The sequence below is a fragment of the Homo sapiens genome, chromosome 14, assembly GCF_000001405.40.
Source record: "Homo sapiens chromosome 14, GRCh38.p14 Primary Assembly".
Classification (NCBI taxonomy): domain Eukaryota; kingdom Metazoa; phylum Chordata; class Mammalia; order Primates; family Hominidae; genus Homo; species Homo sapiens.
In genome coordinates, this window is record NC_000014.9 from 89,420,583 (window position 1) to 89,438,031 (window position 17,449).

The window sequence follows — 17,449 nt, forward strand, 5'->3', positions numbered from 1 at the left end:
GTTCCAAGAGAAATCGATGGCACAGAATTACCAAATCTGACTTGATTGTAGTAGAAGAGGAACTCATTCACTGAACAAATATTTGCTGAGTGCCTACCAAGTGCATGGCATTGTGTTAGCTGCCAGAGATAGACGGTCTTTGTCCCTAAAGAGCACACAGATTAGTGGGTAAGAGTGCAAGCATCATATCACCAAACTCCTTGAATAGCAGGGTGAGCAATTTATATGTGTTAAGGTCAGAGGGCAAAGGTGGCTCACTGAATATTTTTGAGCCCAGAAGTTGTATTATCAGAGATACGAATTAAAAAAAAAAAAAAAGATAAATGGGGATGGTGGATCCAAGATGAATTTCGGGAGAGGAAGAGAGAAACTGGAAGATCAAAAACCAGCAGAACAACTCAGAAATCATTGCAGTAATTCATACAAAACAGAATGAAGACTGTTTAAGAAAAAAAAAAATTGGGGAAAAAAGGCTAAAATAGTGGTTCCTTCTGAATGTTAGAGTTATGGGATACTTCTTTTTTGTGTGCTTCTTTCATACTTGTCCATATTTTCTTTCTTTCTTTTTTTTTTTTTTTTTTTTGAGACAAGAGTTTTGCTCTTGTTGCCCAGGCTGGAGTGCAATGGCACAATCTCGGCTCACTGCAACCTCCACCTCCCAGGTTCAAGTGATTCTCCTGCCCCAGCCTCCCGAGTAGCTGGGATTATAGGCATGCACCACCACACCTGGCTAATTTTGTATTTTTATAGAGACGGGGTTTCTCCATGTTGGTCAGGCTGGTCTTGAACTCCTGACCTCAGGTGATCCGCCTGCCTCAGCCTCCCAAAGTGCTGGGACTACAGGCATGAGCCACTGCACCAGGCCAAACATATTGCTGAGAATTCATGTGAAATCGTGCAATTGTCCGTGTGGGCAATTGGTTTATGGTGTTTCCACCCAGGGAAATTTTTTTTTTTTTTTGAGATGGAGTTTTGCTCTTGTTGGCCAGGCTGGAGTGCAGTGGCGCCATCTTGGCTCACTGCAGCCTCTGCCTCTGGGGTTCAAGCAATTCTCCTGCCTCAGCCTCCCGAGTAGGTGGGATTACAGGCATGCACCACCACGCACGGCTAATTTTTGTATTTTTTTAGTAGAGACGGGGTTTCTCCACGTTGGTCAGGCTGGTCTCGAGCTGCCAACCTCAGGTGATCTGCCCGCCTCAGCCTCCCAAAGTGCTGGGATTACAGGCGCGAGCCACCGTGCTGGGCCCCGCTATTTTTCAAATGGTCTACAATAAACACCCATTACATATATACATACATATATACATTAATTTATTTGACAGAGTCTGGCTCTGTCATCCAGGCTGGAGCACAGTGGTGCAATCGTAACTCACTGCAGCCTCGAACTCCTAGACTCAAACAATCCTCCTTCCTCAGCCTCCAAGTAGCCAGGACTACAGGCGCATGCCACCATGCCAGGCTAATTTTTCTGTAGAGATGGGGTCTCGCTATTTTGCCCAGGCTGGTCTCAAACTCCTGGTCTCAAGCAATCTTCCGGCTTCGGCCTCCCAAAGTGCTGGGATTACAGGCATAAGCCACCGCACCTGGCCCATTACATTTATAATGTTATAAGGGGGTTGAGGGGGCGTCCACTGGAGCAGTGGTTCTCAAACTCGTGTATGCATAGGAATTACCTGAAGGGCTTGTTAAAACACAAACTGCAGGGCCCACCCCCAGAGTTTCTGGTTGGGGAGGTGTGGGCTGGGCTTGAGGATGTGAATCTCTCACAAGCTCCCAGGTGAGGCTGCTGGTCTGTGGACCCACTTCAAGACCAAGTGAATCAGAAGAGTCAGTGAGACTGGAACAAATGAACGCAAGACAGTCTTCAAAGGAAGAACCAAGAGGATTTGTCAAATGATTGAATATGAGAAGAGAGGGGGAGATTATGTTCAAAGATAACTCCTTAATCATGGGTTGACTAAGAGTCTCTTTGAGATAAGGTCTGAGAACGCTGTTTGTAAGAGTAAAAAAACTCCTCACTTTCCCGCTGTGGAAAAGAGACGGCGCCCCTCGGCTGGAAGACCCTTAACATCTTGGTGTGTGTAAAGTCTTGGTCAAACATCATTTGAACTTTCTGGTCACCGTCTCTTGGGATTTTCCTTTTGTGCCTTCTTGCTGTTTACTTGACAGATTCTGAAGGGTGGAGCCTGGGAAAGGGCTTATTAGAATTTCTCCAGCAGGGAATGCAGCCAGGCTTACTTTAAGAGGGAAGCAGGGTGTGTAGTAAGGGAAAGTACAGCTGAACTGGTAGGGTGAAGTTCATCAGCTCAGGTGCCCTCGCCAAACCTGAGCTTGTCAAGCCGGCTGCTGGAGGCAAAATGGAAATATAGAACCTGTCAACTCCTCTTTGAGCATAAACACAAGTGTGAGCCGATGATCTAGAATCCAGATTTACTCAATTAATTCCGTCAACAAGTAAGCATCTAGCTCCTCTATACCCAGTGAAGAGTGGAGGGGACTGGGAAGAGGCCAGGAGAAACAGAAGACACGGCACCTGCCCTCAGGGAGGAGTAGGTCTATGAGCATTTATAAAGCAACCACAAATAAGCAAACACACACACAGAGTCTAATACCAAGACCAGTAGTGGGGAGGCGCAGTGGTTAGACACAGACTAGGTTCGTACTCTGATCTTACCACTTACTAGCAGGTTAACCTCAGTCAAGGTTCTTAACTTCTTTCTATCTACCTAGTTTTCACTTCATAGGACTGTTGTGAAGATTAAATAAATTAATCTTTGTAAGGAACATAAAACAGGGCTCTGGCACTTAGTGAACACTATTTTTATTAAGCCAACAAATCAAAATGAAAATCTTGACATATTAGACTGCATACCAATTTAGAATTGTGTGTAAAATCAGGGGTCATAAATAAAATTTAAAAACAAATGAAATATTGGACATGCAGATGAAAACAGGGTTAATATTTTAAATTTATAAATCTTACAACTCAATGAGAAAAAAATTATCACTCTAATAAGAAAAGGGGCAAATTCACAAAAAGAGAAACAAAAATGAGACTATCCCCATGAAAAGACGCTCAAAACTGTAAAAATCAAAGAAATGCAAATTAAAGCAATTGTGATATCTCATTTCATCTATCAGAATGGCAGAGACTTAAAAGAACTAACCATGCCAATGTTGGTTGAAGGCACTGGTGGGAAGTGGTATAACTTTTCAAGAGGACAGTCGCAAAACAAATTAAAATTTCAGTGAGCACGGACAGCCACTGATCCTAAATTTCCAACTTCTAGGAATTTATCCTTGGGAGATCCTATAAGAGAGTTAACTTCCCCACCAGACTGACTACTGGGAAGAGGCAATAAACCCCAGGAAAGCAGGACTCCAGCCTATTAGATTCAGCAGTGCACACCTGGCATTTATGCCTGGCAGAAGACACTCAATAAATATGTATTGAATAAATTAACTGAAGGAAGCAACAATGTATTTAGGAGGATTTTGCTGGGACGTTGTTTAAAATCACAAAAACTTGGAAATTGCTGAAATAAGAGGCCAGAGGCATATTATTACATTCTGTGGGGCACAGTGGGGCCATGTTCCCTTTGTTCCCTTTCATTTGCATTTTCCAGTAGTTTTAAGTGAGGCTTTCCCTTTTCTGAATCATTTTCACATTCTCAGAGACTGTACGTGTGAAACAATTTGCAAAGATTTCATAAAGTAAGAGTTTAGGGGAAAATGAATATGTTGGCAAAGCGCTTCACAAAATTAAAGCATTCTGTGATCTTTTCAATCAGGAGGGACAAAACGATCCCCTTCTGAAAAGCCTGGTGCTCTGAGCAAACAGGAGAATTGCTAAGTACAACAAACATTATATCCTGTGTTATGAGGTCTATTGTCTGGCCGTGGGAAGTCTTTTGGTTTATAGGTTTTGAATATCAAACTTTCTCTACAAACTCTTACGCAGGTTCCAAGATTCAAGAGTTCAAAATACTCTTGAATTAAGAATTTGTGGGGGAAGGCAGGTGCGGTGGCTCACACCTATAATCTTAACATTTTGGGAGGTCGAGGCTGGGGATTGCTTGAGCCTAGAAGTTCAAGACCAGCCTGACAACATAGGGAGATCTATGACTCTACAAAAAAAAAAAAAATAGAAAAATTAGCCAGGCATGGTGGCACGTGCCTATAGTCCCAGCTACTCAGGAGGCTAAGGTAGGAGGTTCACTTGAGCCCTGGAGGTTGAAGCTACAGTAAGCCGTGATCATGCCACTAAATGTGGTTACAAGTTATTTTTATTTTTCAGATCTGATAGAAAATCTGTGCCCAGCTGAGTTACCCCACATGACCAGAGCTACTAATGCTTCTCCTGCCCCAGGGATATTCGTGATGCTTATCTGATACAAGAGGAGATCACCTCTCTCAGTTCTTGAACTCATTTTATGTACAGCTGACTTTTTTTTGTTGTGTTTTGTTTTGTTTTCTTTTCTTTTTTTTTTTTTTTTTTTTGAGACAGAGTGTCACTCTGCAGCCCAGGCTGGAATGCAGTGGCACGATCTTGGCCCACTGCTACCTCTGCCTCCCGGGTCCTGGTTCAAGCAATTCTCCCACCTCAGCCTCCCAAGTAGCTGGGATTACAGGCACATGCCATCATACCCAGCTATTGTTTGTATTTTCAGTAGAGACGGGGTTTCACCATGTTGGCCAGGCTGGTCTTGAACTCCTGACCTCGTGATCCACCCACCTTGGCCTCCCAAAGTGCTGGGATTACAGGCATGAGCCACTGCGCCTGGCCTGTTTTGTTTTGTTTTTGAGACAGAGTCCTGCTCTGTTGCCCAGGCTGGAGTGCAATGGCTCAATCTCGGCTCACCGCGACCTCTGCCTCCTGGGTTCAAGTGATTCTCCTGCCTCAGCCACCTGAGTAGCTGGGATTACAGGCTTGTGCCACCATGCCCGGCTAATTTTTTTTTTTAATAGACACGGGGTTGAGCATGTTGGCCACGCTGGTCTCGAACTCCTGACCTCAGGTGTTCTACCCACCTTGGCCTCCCAAAGTGCTGGGATTATAGGCATGAGCCACCGCGCCCAGCCTATAGCTGATTATTTTTATTCATAGTAGTTGTGTTCTATAAAGTGTCACAAACACTGAATTAACAAATCCTGAATCATTGCTCCTAGGGGAAATATGGGGTTAGGTTCCTGTGAGCCTCCACTCACAACCCTTTCATCAACCAATGAAAACTTAATTTTACTGATATATTATCACATCATAATTTTGTTGATATTTATTTTATCTGTGTTTCCATTTAAGAAGCTTTTTGAATATATATTGTTGTTCATTCACAACGAACTGTGCCAGAATGACGCTTATCTAATACACATTTTATCCATAAGGCATACCACAGCCTTCCTGTACTTAGAAACACTAGATAGCATTTCAGCAGTGCTTGGGCTCCGTTTCAAACAGCAAAATGAACAAAAATGCAAAAAATGTGGTACTAAACAGACCACAAAAAGGACACTTGGAAAGCCAAAACAAGCGGGCAGAACATCACTTTGTTCACCCTCAGCTGGGAACGTGCACACTGAATGACTCATTTGTACGTGTCCATGAGTGACCACAAAAGCACCAGGAGTACTGATTTTTTTTTTTTTTTTTTTTTTTTTTGAGACAGGGTCTTGCTCTTGTCACCCAGGGTGGAGCGCAGTGGCATGACCTCAGCTCATTGCAATCTCTGCCTCCCAGGTTCAAGTGATTATCCCTGCCTCAGCCTCCTGAGTAGCTGGGATTACAGGCGCCCACCATCACGCCCAGCTAATTTTTTGTATTTTTAGTAGAGACAGGGTTTCACCATGTTGGCCAGGCTGGTCTAGAACTCCTGACCTCAGGTGACCCACCCGCCTCGGCCTCCCAAAGTGCTGGGAAGGCCTGAGCCACCATGCCCGGGCAGGAGTACTGATTTTGAGATTACAGGTAAATTTTAGCAAGAGGGTGAATTCGCAAATACAAAAACTACCAATGATGAGGACTGACTGCATTTAACAAACACCGAAATAGCACTTAACTGGATGCCAGACAGTGTTCTAAAGCTCCGAAAATATTCACTCATTTCAGCCTCACATTAATCATGTGAAGTAGGTACTATTATTATCCCCATTTTATCAACTGAGATTCTGAGGCACAGAGAGGTTTGGCCACTTGCTCATAACACACAGCCGGTAAATGATGGGGCTGGGAATTGAACCCACACAGTGAGTTTGGGAAAGCTTCAGAACACCTGGCTTCTTAGAGAACCTCTCAGGGGCCTAGGACATGAAGGACAGGACCCGTGGGGTACAAGGGAGACAAAATTGTGACCGAGAAATAGAAGAGGAGGGCCGGGCGCGGTGGCTCACGCCTGGAATCCCAGCACTTTGAGAAACCGAGGCGGGTGGATCACTTGAGGTCAGGAGTTCGAGACCAGCCTGGCCAACATGGTGAAACTCTGTTACTAAAAATACAAAAATTAGCCGGGCGCAGTGGTGGGTTTCTGTACTCCCAGTTACTTGGGAGGCTGAGGCAGGAGAAATGCTCGAACCAGGGAGGTGGAGGTTGCAGTGAGCTGATATCGTGCCACTGCACTCCAGCCTGGTCGACAGAGTGAGCCTCTGTCTCAAAAAAAAAAAAAGAAAAGAGAAGAAAAAGAAAAAGAAGAAAAAAAGCACAAGAGGAGGAAGGAAAAGGGGACTTTTTTTTTTTTTTTTTTTTTTGAGATGGAGTCTTGCTCTGTTGCCCAGACTAGAGTGCAGTGGTGCGATCTTGGCTCACTGCAACCTCCGCCTCCTGGGTTCAAGCGATTCTCCTGCCTCAGCATCCCAAGTAGGTGGGATTACAGGCCTCCACCACTGCGCCCGGCTGATTTTTTTTTTTTTTTTTTGTATTCTTAGTAGAGATGGGGTTTCACCATCTTGGCCAGGCTGGTCTCCAGCTCCTAGACCTCGTGATCCACCTGCCTCGGCCTTCCAAAGTGCTGGGATTACAGGAGTGAGCCACCGTGCCCGGCCAGGACTTTTTAACTGAATGAAAAGGCACTACTTGCAAAAACTCAAAGTTCAACTTCTATGTCATAATCAACAAAGTATGGTGTATCTTTGTAATAAAAAAATAAATCAACTAGATACTGAACGTCACCAACAGAGTGTAAGTGCCTTGAGGGGCAAGGGACTCTGTTTTCTCTTCTGCTCATAGCACATGGCACAGTGGTAATAAAAAATATTGATCACTTAACAGGAAAAAAAAAAAGTCTCCTTTTTATCCCTCTCTCAAGCTGGCATCTATTAACTCTACAGATCAGTCAGAGAAAAGTAGCCTCATCAACATTTTCCTCCTCCAAAGTTTTTAAGAGATTTTATTGTTTTCCTCTCTTTAGTGAGTACACCAAGTACCATAGTCTCATGGGTTTCGGTGGCTAAGTCTGCCAAAGTCTTATCCACGCCAAGAAATAACTTCTCTCGTTTTACTTTTTCAGAGGGGTGTGAAAGAAAACAATTGATTCTTCTCTCTACGAGAGTCTTTTTAAAACAAAGTAAGAGCTCTGAATTTGATGAACTCTCTGAGAAACAGAATATAGATTAAATGATTACTAACATATTTCCCTGCAGCACAAAGTTCTTTTTTGGAGATTAGCAATTTATTCCATTTATTACAACAGCCAAACCTGAAGTCTCTTTTCATTGGCTAGTCAAGTTCACCAACCCTTTCTGTTTTGAAATCCTCACTCCTTCCCAAAATAGTGTATCTTGTGCCTTTAATATTGAGGTTGAGGTGCAGGCAAAAGGTGTCCAGAAATTGTGAGACGTGACTGCATGTGAGTACTCAATCTTAAAAGGGTCGGGGCTGGAAAGGAAGCAAGCAGGTGAATTGCTAGCTCTTTCTGTGGGTATGTTCAACAGCACCTCACTTCTCTGCACTCAAAGACGTGATTCTGACTGGTTTCAAAGATTTGGCCCCCAAACAACCAGGCGTCCTTTTTAAGTTGGCATTGCTTCCAGAGAGGAATCCTGAACATGTTTCCTCTATGCCTCACACAGCGCCAGGCCAGCTGTCTAACAATATGGGTCCCGGAGGGGGTGCTGCCCACGTTGGTGACGGCAGCCATGAGTGCCTGTTGCTCGCAGCAGACGTCAGAGAGACCTCAGCGCAGGGGTCCAAGCACCTGGCCAAGGCACCCTGCGCAGGCCTCCACGCCCCACGAGTGCCTGCAGAGGCTACCTGAGGACCAAGGTGGGCATGCCACGGTGTCCTGGACTTCTGGATGGAGGCCAGTCCCAGGGAGTGAATGGCAGAGCTCTCCGGAGGCTGCCCAGGCCAGGTTCAATGGGAGGGATGAACTTCATGACATCCGTTCCAAAGAAATCCCACCTGCTACTGGCATGCCTAGGCTTGTCTTCCCCACATACCAGCCTCCCAGGCATGTCTCCAAGGGCTCAGTGAGGAGGCAGCTGCAACAGTTCGCTTTCTCTTAATGATTTGGAGTTGGGAGGCACAGAGATGGGGAAGAGGTAATGACCATTCCCAGTGATCCTGGACCTCCGTGTTGGCTGCGACCTTGAAAAGTCATGCTGTCAACCCCTTTGTAGAAAAAATGCAGTTTTCTTTGTCCGTGGAAATCTGGCCTCGCAGATTTATTTGCTGTAGCAAGTTTCTTTACCCTCATCACACTGATACTCAGAATTGAAACAGTTCAAACCTACCCTGAAACATCCTTCTCCCTCCAAATTCCAGTGACATCCTCGGTCTAAAACGCCTGGCACCATGTGGGAGCCTGGCTCCGCTGCCTCTCAACGCACTGGCTTGCTTTTTGCTTTTGAGTAGCTTGAATATCAAACCAAGCACAAAGGGAATCATACCCAGGAGTTGCTGGAAAAAGCTCATTTCATCCACCTCATTCCCCCATTCTCTCTGGCAGACACAACTGATTTTTTTTTTTTTGAAGCCTGAAAAACTTCTCATTTAAACTTGGGGTGCAAAAGGCATGTGAAGTGGGAGAGTTGCTGCCTGGACCAGCGAAGGGTTAGCCAGGGAAGGATTCAACGAAATACAAAAGCCAACACAGACCTGAAGGGGAACAGGCGGCCCCAGCAACAACTGCCAAACTGTCATTTTGCTCCGCGGCTGAACAGAAGGCTCGAGTAATGACAACCACAAAACTCATTTAAAGTCTGAAAAGGTGACTAATGAGCTCATTCATGCTGGCTATAAATTATTCACTACAACACTGATCCCACTCAAGACAAACAGTAAAGTAAACTTTAAACACAGACATCGCTGGCCTTCCAAAGTGGAACAAGTTATGCCTGTAAAAGTTTTCACAATGAGAGAGATACTTGTCTCCCCCTTGTCTATTGTCACATTCGTTCTTCTGTTTACTTTTTTTTACTGCCTTTAATCAAGTTTAAGCAGACACAGCTGTTACACATTTATTTCTCTGAGTTTTTTTCCATTAGTTATTACAAGCAATCATGATGCTCTAAAAATAGCAGCAAATTATATTCTCTAGAAATTGAAGGCTGACCTTAAAATGAAGCCCAGGTCTTCAGAAAGAATATTCATATGCACATGTTGGATAAATGACAACAATGCACAAAGGCAAAATAAAAGTACAAAGCTTTTTCCACTCTTTGAGAGGTTTTTGATTTGCTTCCAAATTTCCTTTGGTTCTGGTGGAAACAGGTTGCTTCAAAACCTTACCATACAGAACCTGCTTCCAGTGGTCATGATTCCAGTTTGAAGGATTTTCCTTCAAACTTACAATCTTAAGGCAATCAAAGAAGAAATGTTTCATTTAGGCTTTTTCAGCACAGATAAACACAGCAGCAGGTTGCTGAAAACCCACCACATTGCTGCAGACTACTTTCGGTTTCCTGTTTAATATTAAATAAAGAATTTTAGCTCTTCTGTTTTTATAAACTGTGCTATTTGCTACTACTGTCACTACTAAAAGCATTATGACTGGGTGGATAAGTAGTCCTATGATTTTCAAGCCTTCTTTTTTCTTTAATCTTAGTATCTATTTTGAAGACATCGCGAGAGTTAAGAGTCTCAAATCTGTTTAATTGATTTTTTTATTTTTAAAAGGCCCAAATAAGTACTTCCGTTAGCTCTTAGATCTCTGAACATTATGTATTTTTAAACCACTTTGAATACTTTGAAAAGGGCCACAGAAAACACTCATATTCAAATACCACCAGACGGAGGTTCTGCCTAACCAAAAGTAAAAGCAGAAAAGTTTAAAGCTGAATTGTGCCCTGCACACACCTTGAGATTGTAGGGGTGAAATGAATGGTCTTGGGCCGGGGATCTTGCTAAAGGCATGATAAATCATGCGTTGCAGGCAAATTAAGACCCAGGCTCTAACTTGAACCTCAGACTGTGCCAAACTCCATCTCCATTTAAGGAAAATGGTTTTCTCAGTTTCTTGCACATGACCTAAAGGCTTGTCCAGTCATTTCCGTTGTCTGAAATGCAAAGCAATCTTTCTTTTTTAAGTAGAGAAAGAAGAGTCCTGAAATATTTATAGGAAAGTGCTTCACTACCTACTGACAGCAATGTGGTTGGTCTCTACGTGTTTAGCACATTTTTTTTTGTTTGCTTGTTTCTTTGAGACAGAGTCTCTCTCTCTCTCCCAGGCTGGATGGAGTGCAGTGTTGTGATTTCAGCTCACTGCAACTTCTTCAGCTTCACTTGAACCGGGTTCAAGTGATTCTCCTGCCTTAGCCTCCCAAGTAACTGGGATGACAGGCGCCCACCACCACACCCGGCTAATTTTTGTATTTTTGGTAGAGACAGGGTTTCACCATGTTGGCCAGGCCGGTCTTGAACTCCTGACCTCAGGTGATCCACCCGCCTCGGCCTCCCAAAGTGCTGGGATTACAGGCATGGGCCACTGCGCCTGGCCAGCATGTTTTTTATCCATGTTTCTGTAGCTAGTCAAAAGCCATTCTTTTGACCCTCTGTGCAAGAGTTCTTGCAGCTGTTTGTTTTTGTTTTTTTATTTTGTTTCGATATGTTTTATTTTTTTAGAGCAGTTTAAGGTTCACAGCAAACTTGAGTGGGAGGTACAGAGATTTCTCATTATCCACTGCCCCAACACAAGCATAGTGCTGTGGTTGTTGTTTTGAGAAAGAATTTCACTCCTGTTGCCCAGGCTGGAGTGCAATGGCACAATCTTGGCTCACTGCAACCTCCACCTCCTGGGTTCAAGCAATTCTCCTGCCTCAGCCTCCCGAGTAGCTTGGATTACAGGCGCCCGCCACCACGTCCAGCTAATTTTTGTATTTTTAGTACAGACGGGGTTTCACCATGTTGGTCAGGCTGGTCTCAAACTCCTGACCTCAGGTGATCCGCCTGCCTCGGCCTCCCAAAGTGCTGGGATTACAGGCGTGAGCCACCACGCCCGGCTGTGTTGTTGCTTTTTTATAATCAAACAATATGTGATGTAAAAACCCAATTCCAACCAAAGAAATAGGAAAATCATAAAGAACATCGCATTGCAGTCTCTGCTGCTCCACAACTCGCCACTAACTGGATCCCTGTCACCTCTCTGTGGAAGGGTATAAAGGAAATATTGGTTTGAAACTAAGCCAAATGTCCCATCTTTTCCTAGCAATGTGTCTTGCAGGCAGACTCCACCTCTCCATTTATGGGTGGGAGACCTGGAATGTCCAGTGACGGCCCTAACACCACCCTGCTCCTAATTTTCCTAGGAAGGACCAAAGGTGATGTCAATTTTGCCTTGAGGACATTCAAGGCGCTTGAACAACAGGAGTCAAAACAATGAACACCAAGTACCCAATGACTGCGATCCAAAGGATTATAAAACATGCATAACAACAAAAGCTTCCTGCAGGCCAGGCACCGTGCCAAGAGCTTTACCTGCATTATTTATTCCATCTTTCCACCACCCTTACAGGATAGGTGCTGTCATCCTCATTTACAGATGAGGACACCAAGGCTTCAAGAAGCTCACTCATTTGCCAGAAGTGAAATGCAAACTTAAAGATCCCCATGTCCCTCTGGCCTGCACAGCCCCACCGCCTTGACCACTGCTCTCACCTGTCTATTGCTATTCTCCAAGATCTCATTTCCAAGATCACAGAATGTAACTTTCTGCTGGTCATCTCTACCTCTTAGGCTTCTTCTTCACAGTTTTGGGGTTTTTGGGAGGGAGTTTTTGTTTTGTTTTGTGGCATTGGTTTGGTTTGAGTTTTGCATAGCATTCTTCATTTTCTTTTTCTTTATTTAGAGATGGGGCAGAGGGGTCTCACTATATTGCCCAGGTCGGTCTCAAACTCCTGGGCTCAAGCGATTCTCCTGCCTTGACCTCCCAAACTCCTGGGATTACAGGCGTGAGCCAACGAGCACCTGGCCTGCATAGCATTTTTCAAGGGCTACTAATCATAGTCACCCTTTCTACCCTCACCATTACCTACAAATGCTCACATAGAAACAGACACATTTGGCTGGGCACAGTGGCTCACACCTGTAATCCTTTGGGAGGCCGAGGCGGGGTGAGTCACCTGAGGTCAGGAGTTTGAGACCAGCCTGGCCAACATGGCGAAACCCTGTCTCTACTAAAAATACAAAAATTGCTGGGCACGGTGGCTCACACCTGTAATCCCAGCACTTTGGGAGGCCAAGGTGGGCAGATCACAACGTCAGGAGTTCAAGACCAACCTGGCCAATCTGGTGAAACCCCATCTCTACTAAAAATACAAAAATTAGTTGGGCGTGGTGGTGCGGGCTTGTAGTCCCAGCTACTCGGTAGACTGAGGCAGAAGAATCGCTTGAACTCAGGAGGCTGAGGTTGCAGTTAGCCGAGATCGTGCCACTGCACTCCAGCCTGGGCGACTAAGCGAGACTCCATCTCAAACAAACAAACAAACAAATAAATACATAATACAAAAATTAGGCTGGGTGCGGTGGCTCACGCCTATAATCCGAGCACTTCAGGAGGTTAAGGCAGGCAGATCACGAGGTCAGGAGTTCGTGACCAGCCTGGCCAACACGATGAAACTCTGTCTCTACTAAAAATACAAAAAATTAGCCAGGCGTGGTGGCAGGCGCCTGTAATCCCAGCTATTCAGGAGGCTGAGGCAGTAGAATCGCTTGAATCCAGGAGGCAAGGTGGCGGAGGTTGCAGTGAGCTGAGATCACGCCACTTCACTCCAGCCTGGGTGAAAGAGCGAAACTCTGTCTCCAAAAAAAAAAAAAGAAAAGAAACAGACATATTCATTAAATGGACAAACGTCTAAAAATACTGAAATATCCAGGGCAATGGTCACACACCAGTACTGTGCTTTTATCAGAATTTTTTTTTTTTTTTTTTTGAGATGGAGTTTCACTCTTGTCGCCCAGGCTGGAGTGCAATGGCCCCATCTTGGCTCACTGCAACCTCGCCTCCCAGATTCAAGCAATTCTCCTGTCTCAGCCTCCAGAGTAGCTGGTATTACAGGTGCCTGCCACTACGCCCGGCTAATTTTAGGTATTTTTAGTAGAGACGAGGTTTCACCAGGAGTCAACCTGGTCTTGAACTCCTGACCTCAGATGATAGCCCCACCTCACTGTCCCAAAGTGCTGGGATTACAGACGTGAGTCACTGCGCAAGCCTTTTTTTTTTTTTTTTTTTAAGATGGAGTTTTGCTCTTGTTACCCAGGCTGCAGTGCAATGGTGTGATCTCACTCAGCTCACTGCAACCTCCACCTCCCGGATTCAAGTGATTCTCCTGCCTCAGCCTCCAGAGTAGCTGGGATTACAGGTGCCTGCCACCACACCCGGCTAATTTTTTTGTATTTTTAGTAAAGACAGTGTTTCACTGTGCTGGTCAAGCTGGTCTTGAACTTGTGACCTCAGGTGATCCACCTGCCTCGGACTCTCAAAGTGCTGGGATTACAGATGTGAGCCACCGTGCCTGGCCTTATCAGAATCTTAAAACACAAAGGTTTTTTAAGAAGCTCATGATCACTCCAGAGCACAGGCCTGGAACTCCAAGTCCATCTCCATCTCCCATCTGAACCCTTGGGAAGAACAAGCAGCTGTAGAGGTACCCATTTTCAACTCACAGAATAATCTCCTTTTTCTCCAATCCTCACCCTATTGCCTGCTCCCAAACCACCAAATAAACCTTCTTTGAATGTCCTACTACCACAAGGACAAAAATCTGATGGATTCTCTTGAAGGTAATGCTTCCAAAGCACAGACATTTGACAAGAAACCATTTTCAAACTATGTATCTTGTTCTTTGCACTCCGGTAGTTATTGTCTGCCAGTTTAGAAACACCACTGACCCTCACACCAGAACTACTTTCCAAAAGCTGTATTACAGAGAATTATTATAGTTACAGGTACAGATCAACCTTAGTCAATTCTGTATAAACGTTCAACAATTAGCCAAGCACAATTTGAATACACTGTACTGCTAATCAGATTAACTTTCCCCCATATATCCTAGACAAGAGGGTAAAACTCTCTTACTAAGGCAGCCTGGGGCCAGACACAGTGGCTTATGACTACAATCCCAATACTTTGGGAGGCTGCGGAGGGGAGGATTGCTTGAACCCAGGAGTTAGAAGCCAGCCTGGGCAACACTGCAAGACCTCATCTCTACAGAAAAAATTTTTGTAATTAGCTGGGCGGTGCACACCTGCTACTCATGAGGCTGAAGCAGGAGGATCACTAGGGCCTGCGAGGTCAAGCCTTCACTGAGCTATGATTGTGCCACTGCACTCCAGCCTGGGTGACACAGCAAGACCCTGTCTCTTAAAAAAAAAAAAAAAAAATGGCAGCCCAATACCCCCACAGGCCCTCAGAGCCTTCACCCAAGCTGTATACATGAGAGACAGAGAAGAAGCATACTCCCTTAACTCACTGCCATCTTCCACACCCACGTCATCTCCACGTCCATGGCGCTCCCAGATAGACTGTGGTACGACAGCCAAAGCATTCGTTCCCTCACAAACCACCCCAGATGCTTCCTTGAAAGCTCCCCTGGTGCCACTACTAGAATCTCATCTCGAGACCAGCCAACAGCTCCGTAAAAAGGGGATGAAGTAGAAAGCTGAGGTCTGTGGTTTCATTCTTGAGAAACCCTCAGCTATCCACAGGGATCTGATTCCACTGCCATTTAGAGTGACTCTGGCTTCTGCCAACACCAGCTCCCTTTGAATCCAAATTAAACCTCTCACAGATTTCCTGTGACACCAGCCTTACAGCAAAGCCTCCCAATGGCTACAGTCATGCAAACAAGCCCTGCCCAGACCTTCCTGGATCTCCTCTGAATGAACAACCAAGTTGCCTTGGCTGTTCAGAAGATAACACTGACTAAAGGCACAGCAGGTTTTACGTACTCCATTTCCTAGGGCTCCTCCCTCACATCCTTCATCACTCATTTTTCTTTATTATTTTTTTTTTCAGAGATAGGGTCTTGCTATGTTGCCCAGGCTGGTCTCGAACTCCTGGGCTCAAGCGATCCTCCTGCCTCGGCCTCCCAAAATGCTGAGATCACAGGAGTGTGCCACCGCGCCCGGCCTGTAGATCAAAATCTACAACTCATGGGTAGGAAGAAAGTTACCAATGCTGACTGCCCTGACTTATCATTATAATCTAAACAGAGCTATTTATTTACTAATTACATTCTTGGTTTTATAGCCCTGGCCAGAAAAGGTTTGTTTATTCATTAAAAAAAAAAAAAAAAGTTAATTTATAAAGAAAATAAAATCTACAAGGTTAGCCTTAGGAAGACTTTTGGTCATGGTGTCATGCCAGCCCCTAATTTAATGAAGCAACTGTGACCTAGAAAACAAAGTGACGTAGGGTCACATGTTAGGGTGCACATTTGTGGTTTCCTCTCCAGTATCTATTTTTCTTCTCTCCCTTTCCCAGAGTCCCCCAAGTTTCCACCCTTGTGGTCTGGGTGGGACTGACCCCATCGTCTGCGCCAGAGGCATGGGGTTCGTCGAATGGGCAGCCGCAGCTTAGGACTCAGTGCACAAATCAACAAGATCCCCCTGTCGTTTAGACAGCCTGAGCTGGCTTTTCGGTCACTTACAATCAAAACATCCAACAGATACCCATGGAGAGTTAGTGGTGGATCCAGTTTCTTGACTTCCTGTTCACAAAGTAAAGCCTTTAACATTAAACAACAAAGAAAGCCATAGTTTGACAAGTTTAGAGGCCAGATTTGATAGGAATAAACAGATTTGGGAGAAAAGTACCAAATTATACATTATCACTGAACTTAAAAGTATGGCTTAGGCCAGGCACGGTGGCTCACACCTGTAATCCCAGCATTTTGGGAGGCCGAAGCAGGTGGATCACCTGAGGTCAGGAATTCGAGACCAGCCTGGCCAACATGGTGAAACCCCGTCTCTACTAAAAATACAAAAATTAGCCAGGCGTGGTGGCAGACACCTGTAATCCCAGCTATTCAGGAGGCTGAGACAGGAGAATCAATTGAACATGGGAGGCTGAGACAGGAGAATCAATTGAACACGGAAGGTTGCAGTGAGCCAAGATCGCGCCACTGCACTCCAGTCTGGGCAACAAAGAGCAAAACTCTGTCTCAAAAAACAAAACAAAACAAAAAAAAACAGTATGGCTTAATGTCTAAATGTGGTCATGTTAATAGAGTATTGTTGATGAATGGAGAATTCATGAGTGGAGATTAACTGTAGGGAATCCATGGTTAATGAAGGAGAACAACTCTGTCTAGAACCTGAGGCAAAACATGACACCCGCTGAGCTCTCTGACCTTAACCTGAACCTGGGCCCATTTCTACCTCCAAGGGGGACAAATATCTCAACCTTACATCCCCAAGTGCCACTCCAAGATCAGGTGCTGATGGACAGATGATGGTGGTCATGTCAGAGGCGTGTGAACCAGGGCAACTCCATCTTGAATACGAGCTGTGTAAAATGAGGCTGAGACCTACTGGGCTGCATTCCCAGACAGTTAAGGCATTGACTGCTATACTCCCACCAGTGCCATGAGAGTTTACAAATGCCATGGCAACATCAGGAAGTTACCATGTATGATCTAAGAAGGGGAGGCATGAATAATCCACACCTTGTTTAGCATATCATCAAGAAATAACCATAAAAATAGGCAACCAGCAGCCATCAGGGCTGCTCTGTCTATGGAATAGCCATTCTTTTATTCCTTTGCTTTCCTAATAAAGCTGCTTTCACATTACTGTAGGAACCCAACCTGAATTCTTTCTTGTGCAAGATCCAAGGACCCTCTCTTGGGGGTCAGGACTAGAACCCTTTATCTGCAACAGTCATAATGGCTAAGTTTATTGAGTGGTTACTACATGACAGACAATGAGCTAGGGTTTTATCTGCTTTATGTCACAGAAGGCTCCCAACAATCAAGGTGAAGTTGGTTGATCAAAGTAGATGGTTAACAAATGATAATGAAT

General features: G+C 44.9%; 1 protein-coding gene and 1 long non-coding RNA gene across 2 annotated transcripts in view, besides 3 other annotated features; one reads left to right on the forward strand and one right to left on the reverse strand.

Moving 5' to 3' along the window:
- The window catches only part of FOXN3 (forkhead box N3), a 462,989-nt gene that overhangs the window by 264,406 nt on the left and 181,134 nt on the right, over positions 1–17,449 (reverse strand). The window lies entirely within an intron of this gene.
- Positions 4,246–4,860: an enhancer, noted in NCBI's record as "H3K27ac-H3K4me1 hESC enhancer chr14:89891172-89891786 (GRCh37/hg19 assembly coordinates)". NCBI's record gives its function as "activates a minimal SCP1, AML or CMV promoter by ChIP-STARR-seq in primed H9 embryonic stem cells {active_cell/tissue: H9 hESC(primed)}" and the evidence as "EXISTENCE:reporter gene assay evidence [ECO:0000049][PMID:30033119]".
- Positions 7,772–10,490, forward strand: LOC107984635 (uncharacterized). Its single transcript, XR_001751025.2, has 2 exons — positions 7,772–7,838; positions 8,756–10,490. It is a non-coding gene; the product is annotated as an uncharacterized LOC107984635 (long non-coding RNA).
- Positions 7,922–9,121: an enhancer, noted in NCBI's record as "MED14-independent group 3 enhancer chr14:89894848-89896047 (GRCh37/hg19 assembly coordinates)". NCBI's record gives its function as "activates an origin of replication core promoter dependent on BRD2, BRD4, P300/CBP and CDK7 cofactors, and independent of MED14, by STARR-seq in HCT116 cells {active_cell/tissue: HCT116}" and the evidence as "EXISTENCE:reporter gene assay evidence [ECO:0000049][PMID:35650434]".
- Positions 11,531–12,084: an enhancer, noted in NCBI's record as "NANOG-H3K27ac hESC enhancer chr14:89898457-89899010 (GRCh37/hg19 assembly coordinates)". NCBI's record gives its function as "activates a minimal SCP1, AML or CMV promoter by ChIP-STARR-seq in naive and primed H9 embryonic stem cells {active_cell/tissue: H9 hESC(naive and primed)}" and the evidence as "EXISTENCE:reporter gene assay evidence [ECO:0000049][PMID:30033119]".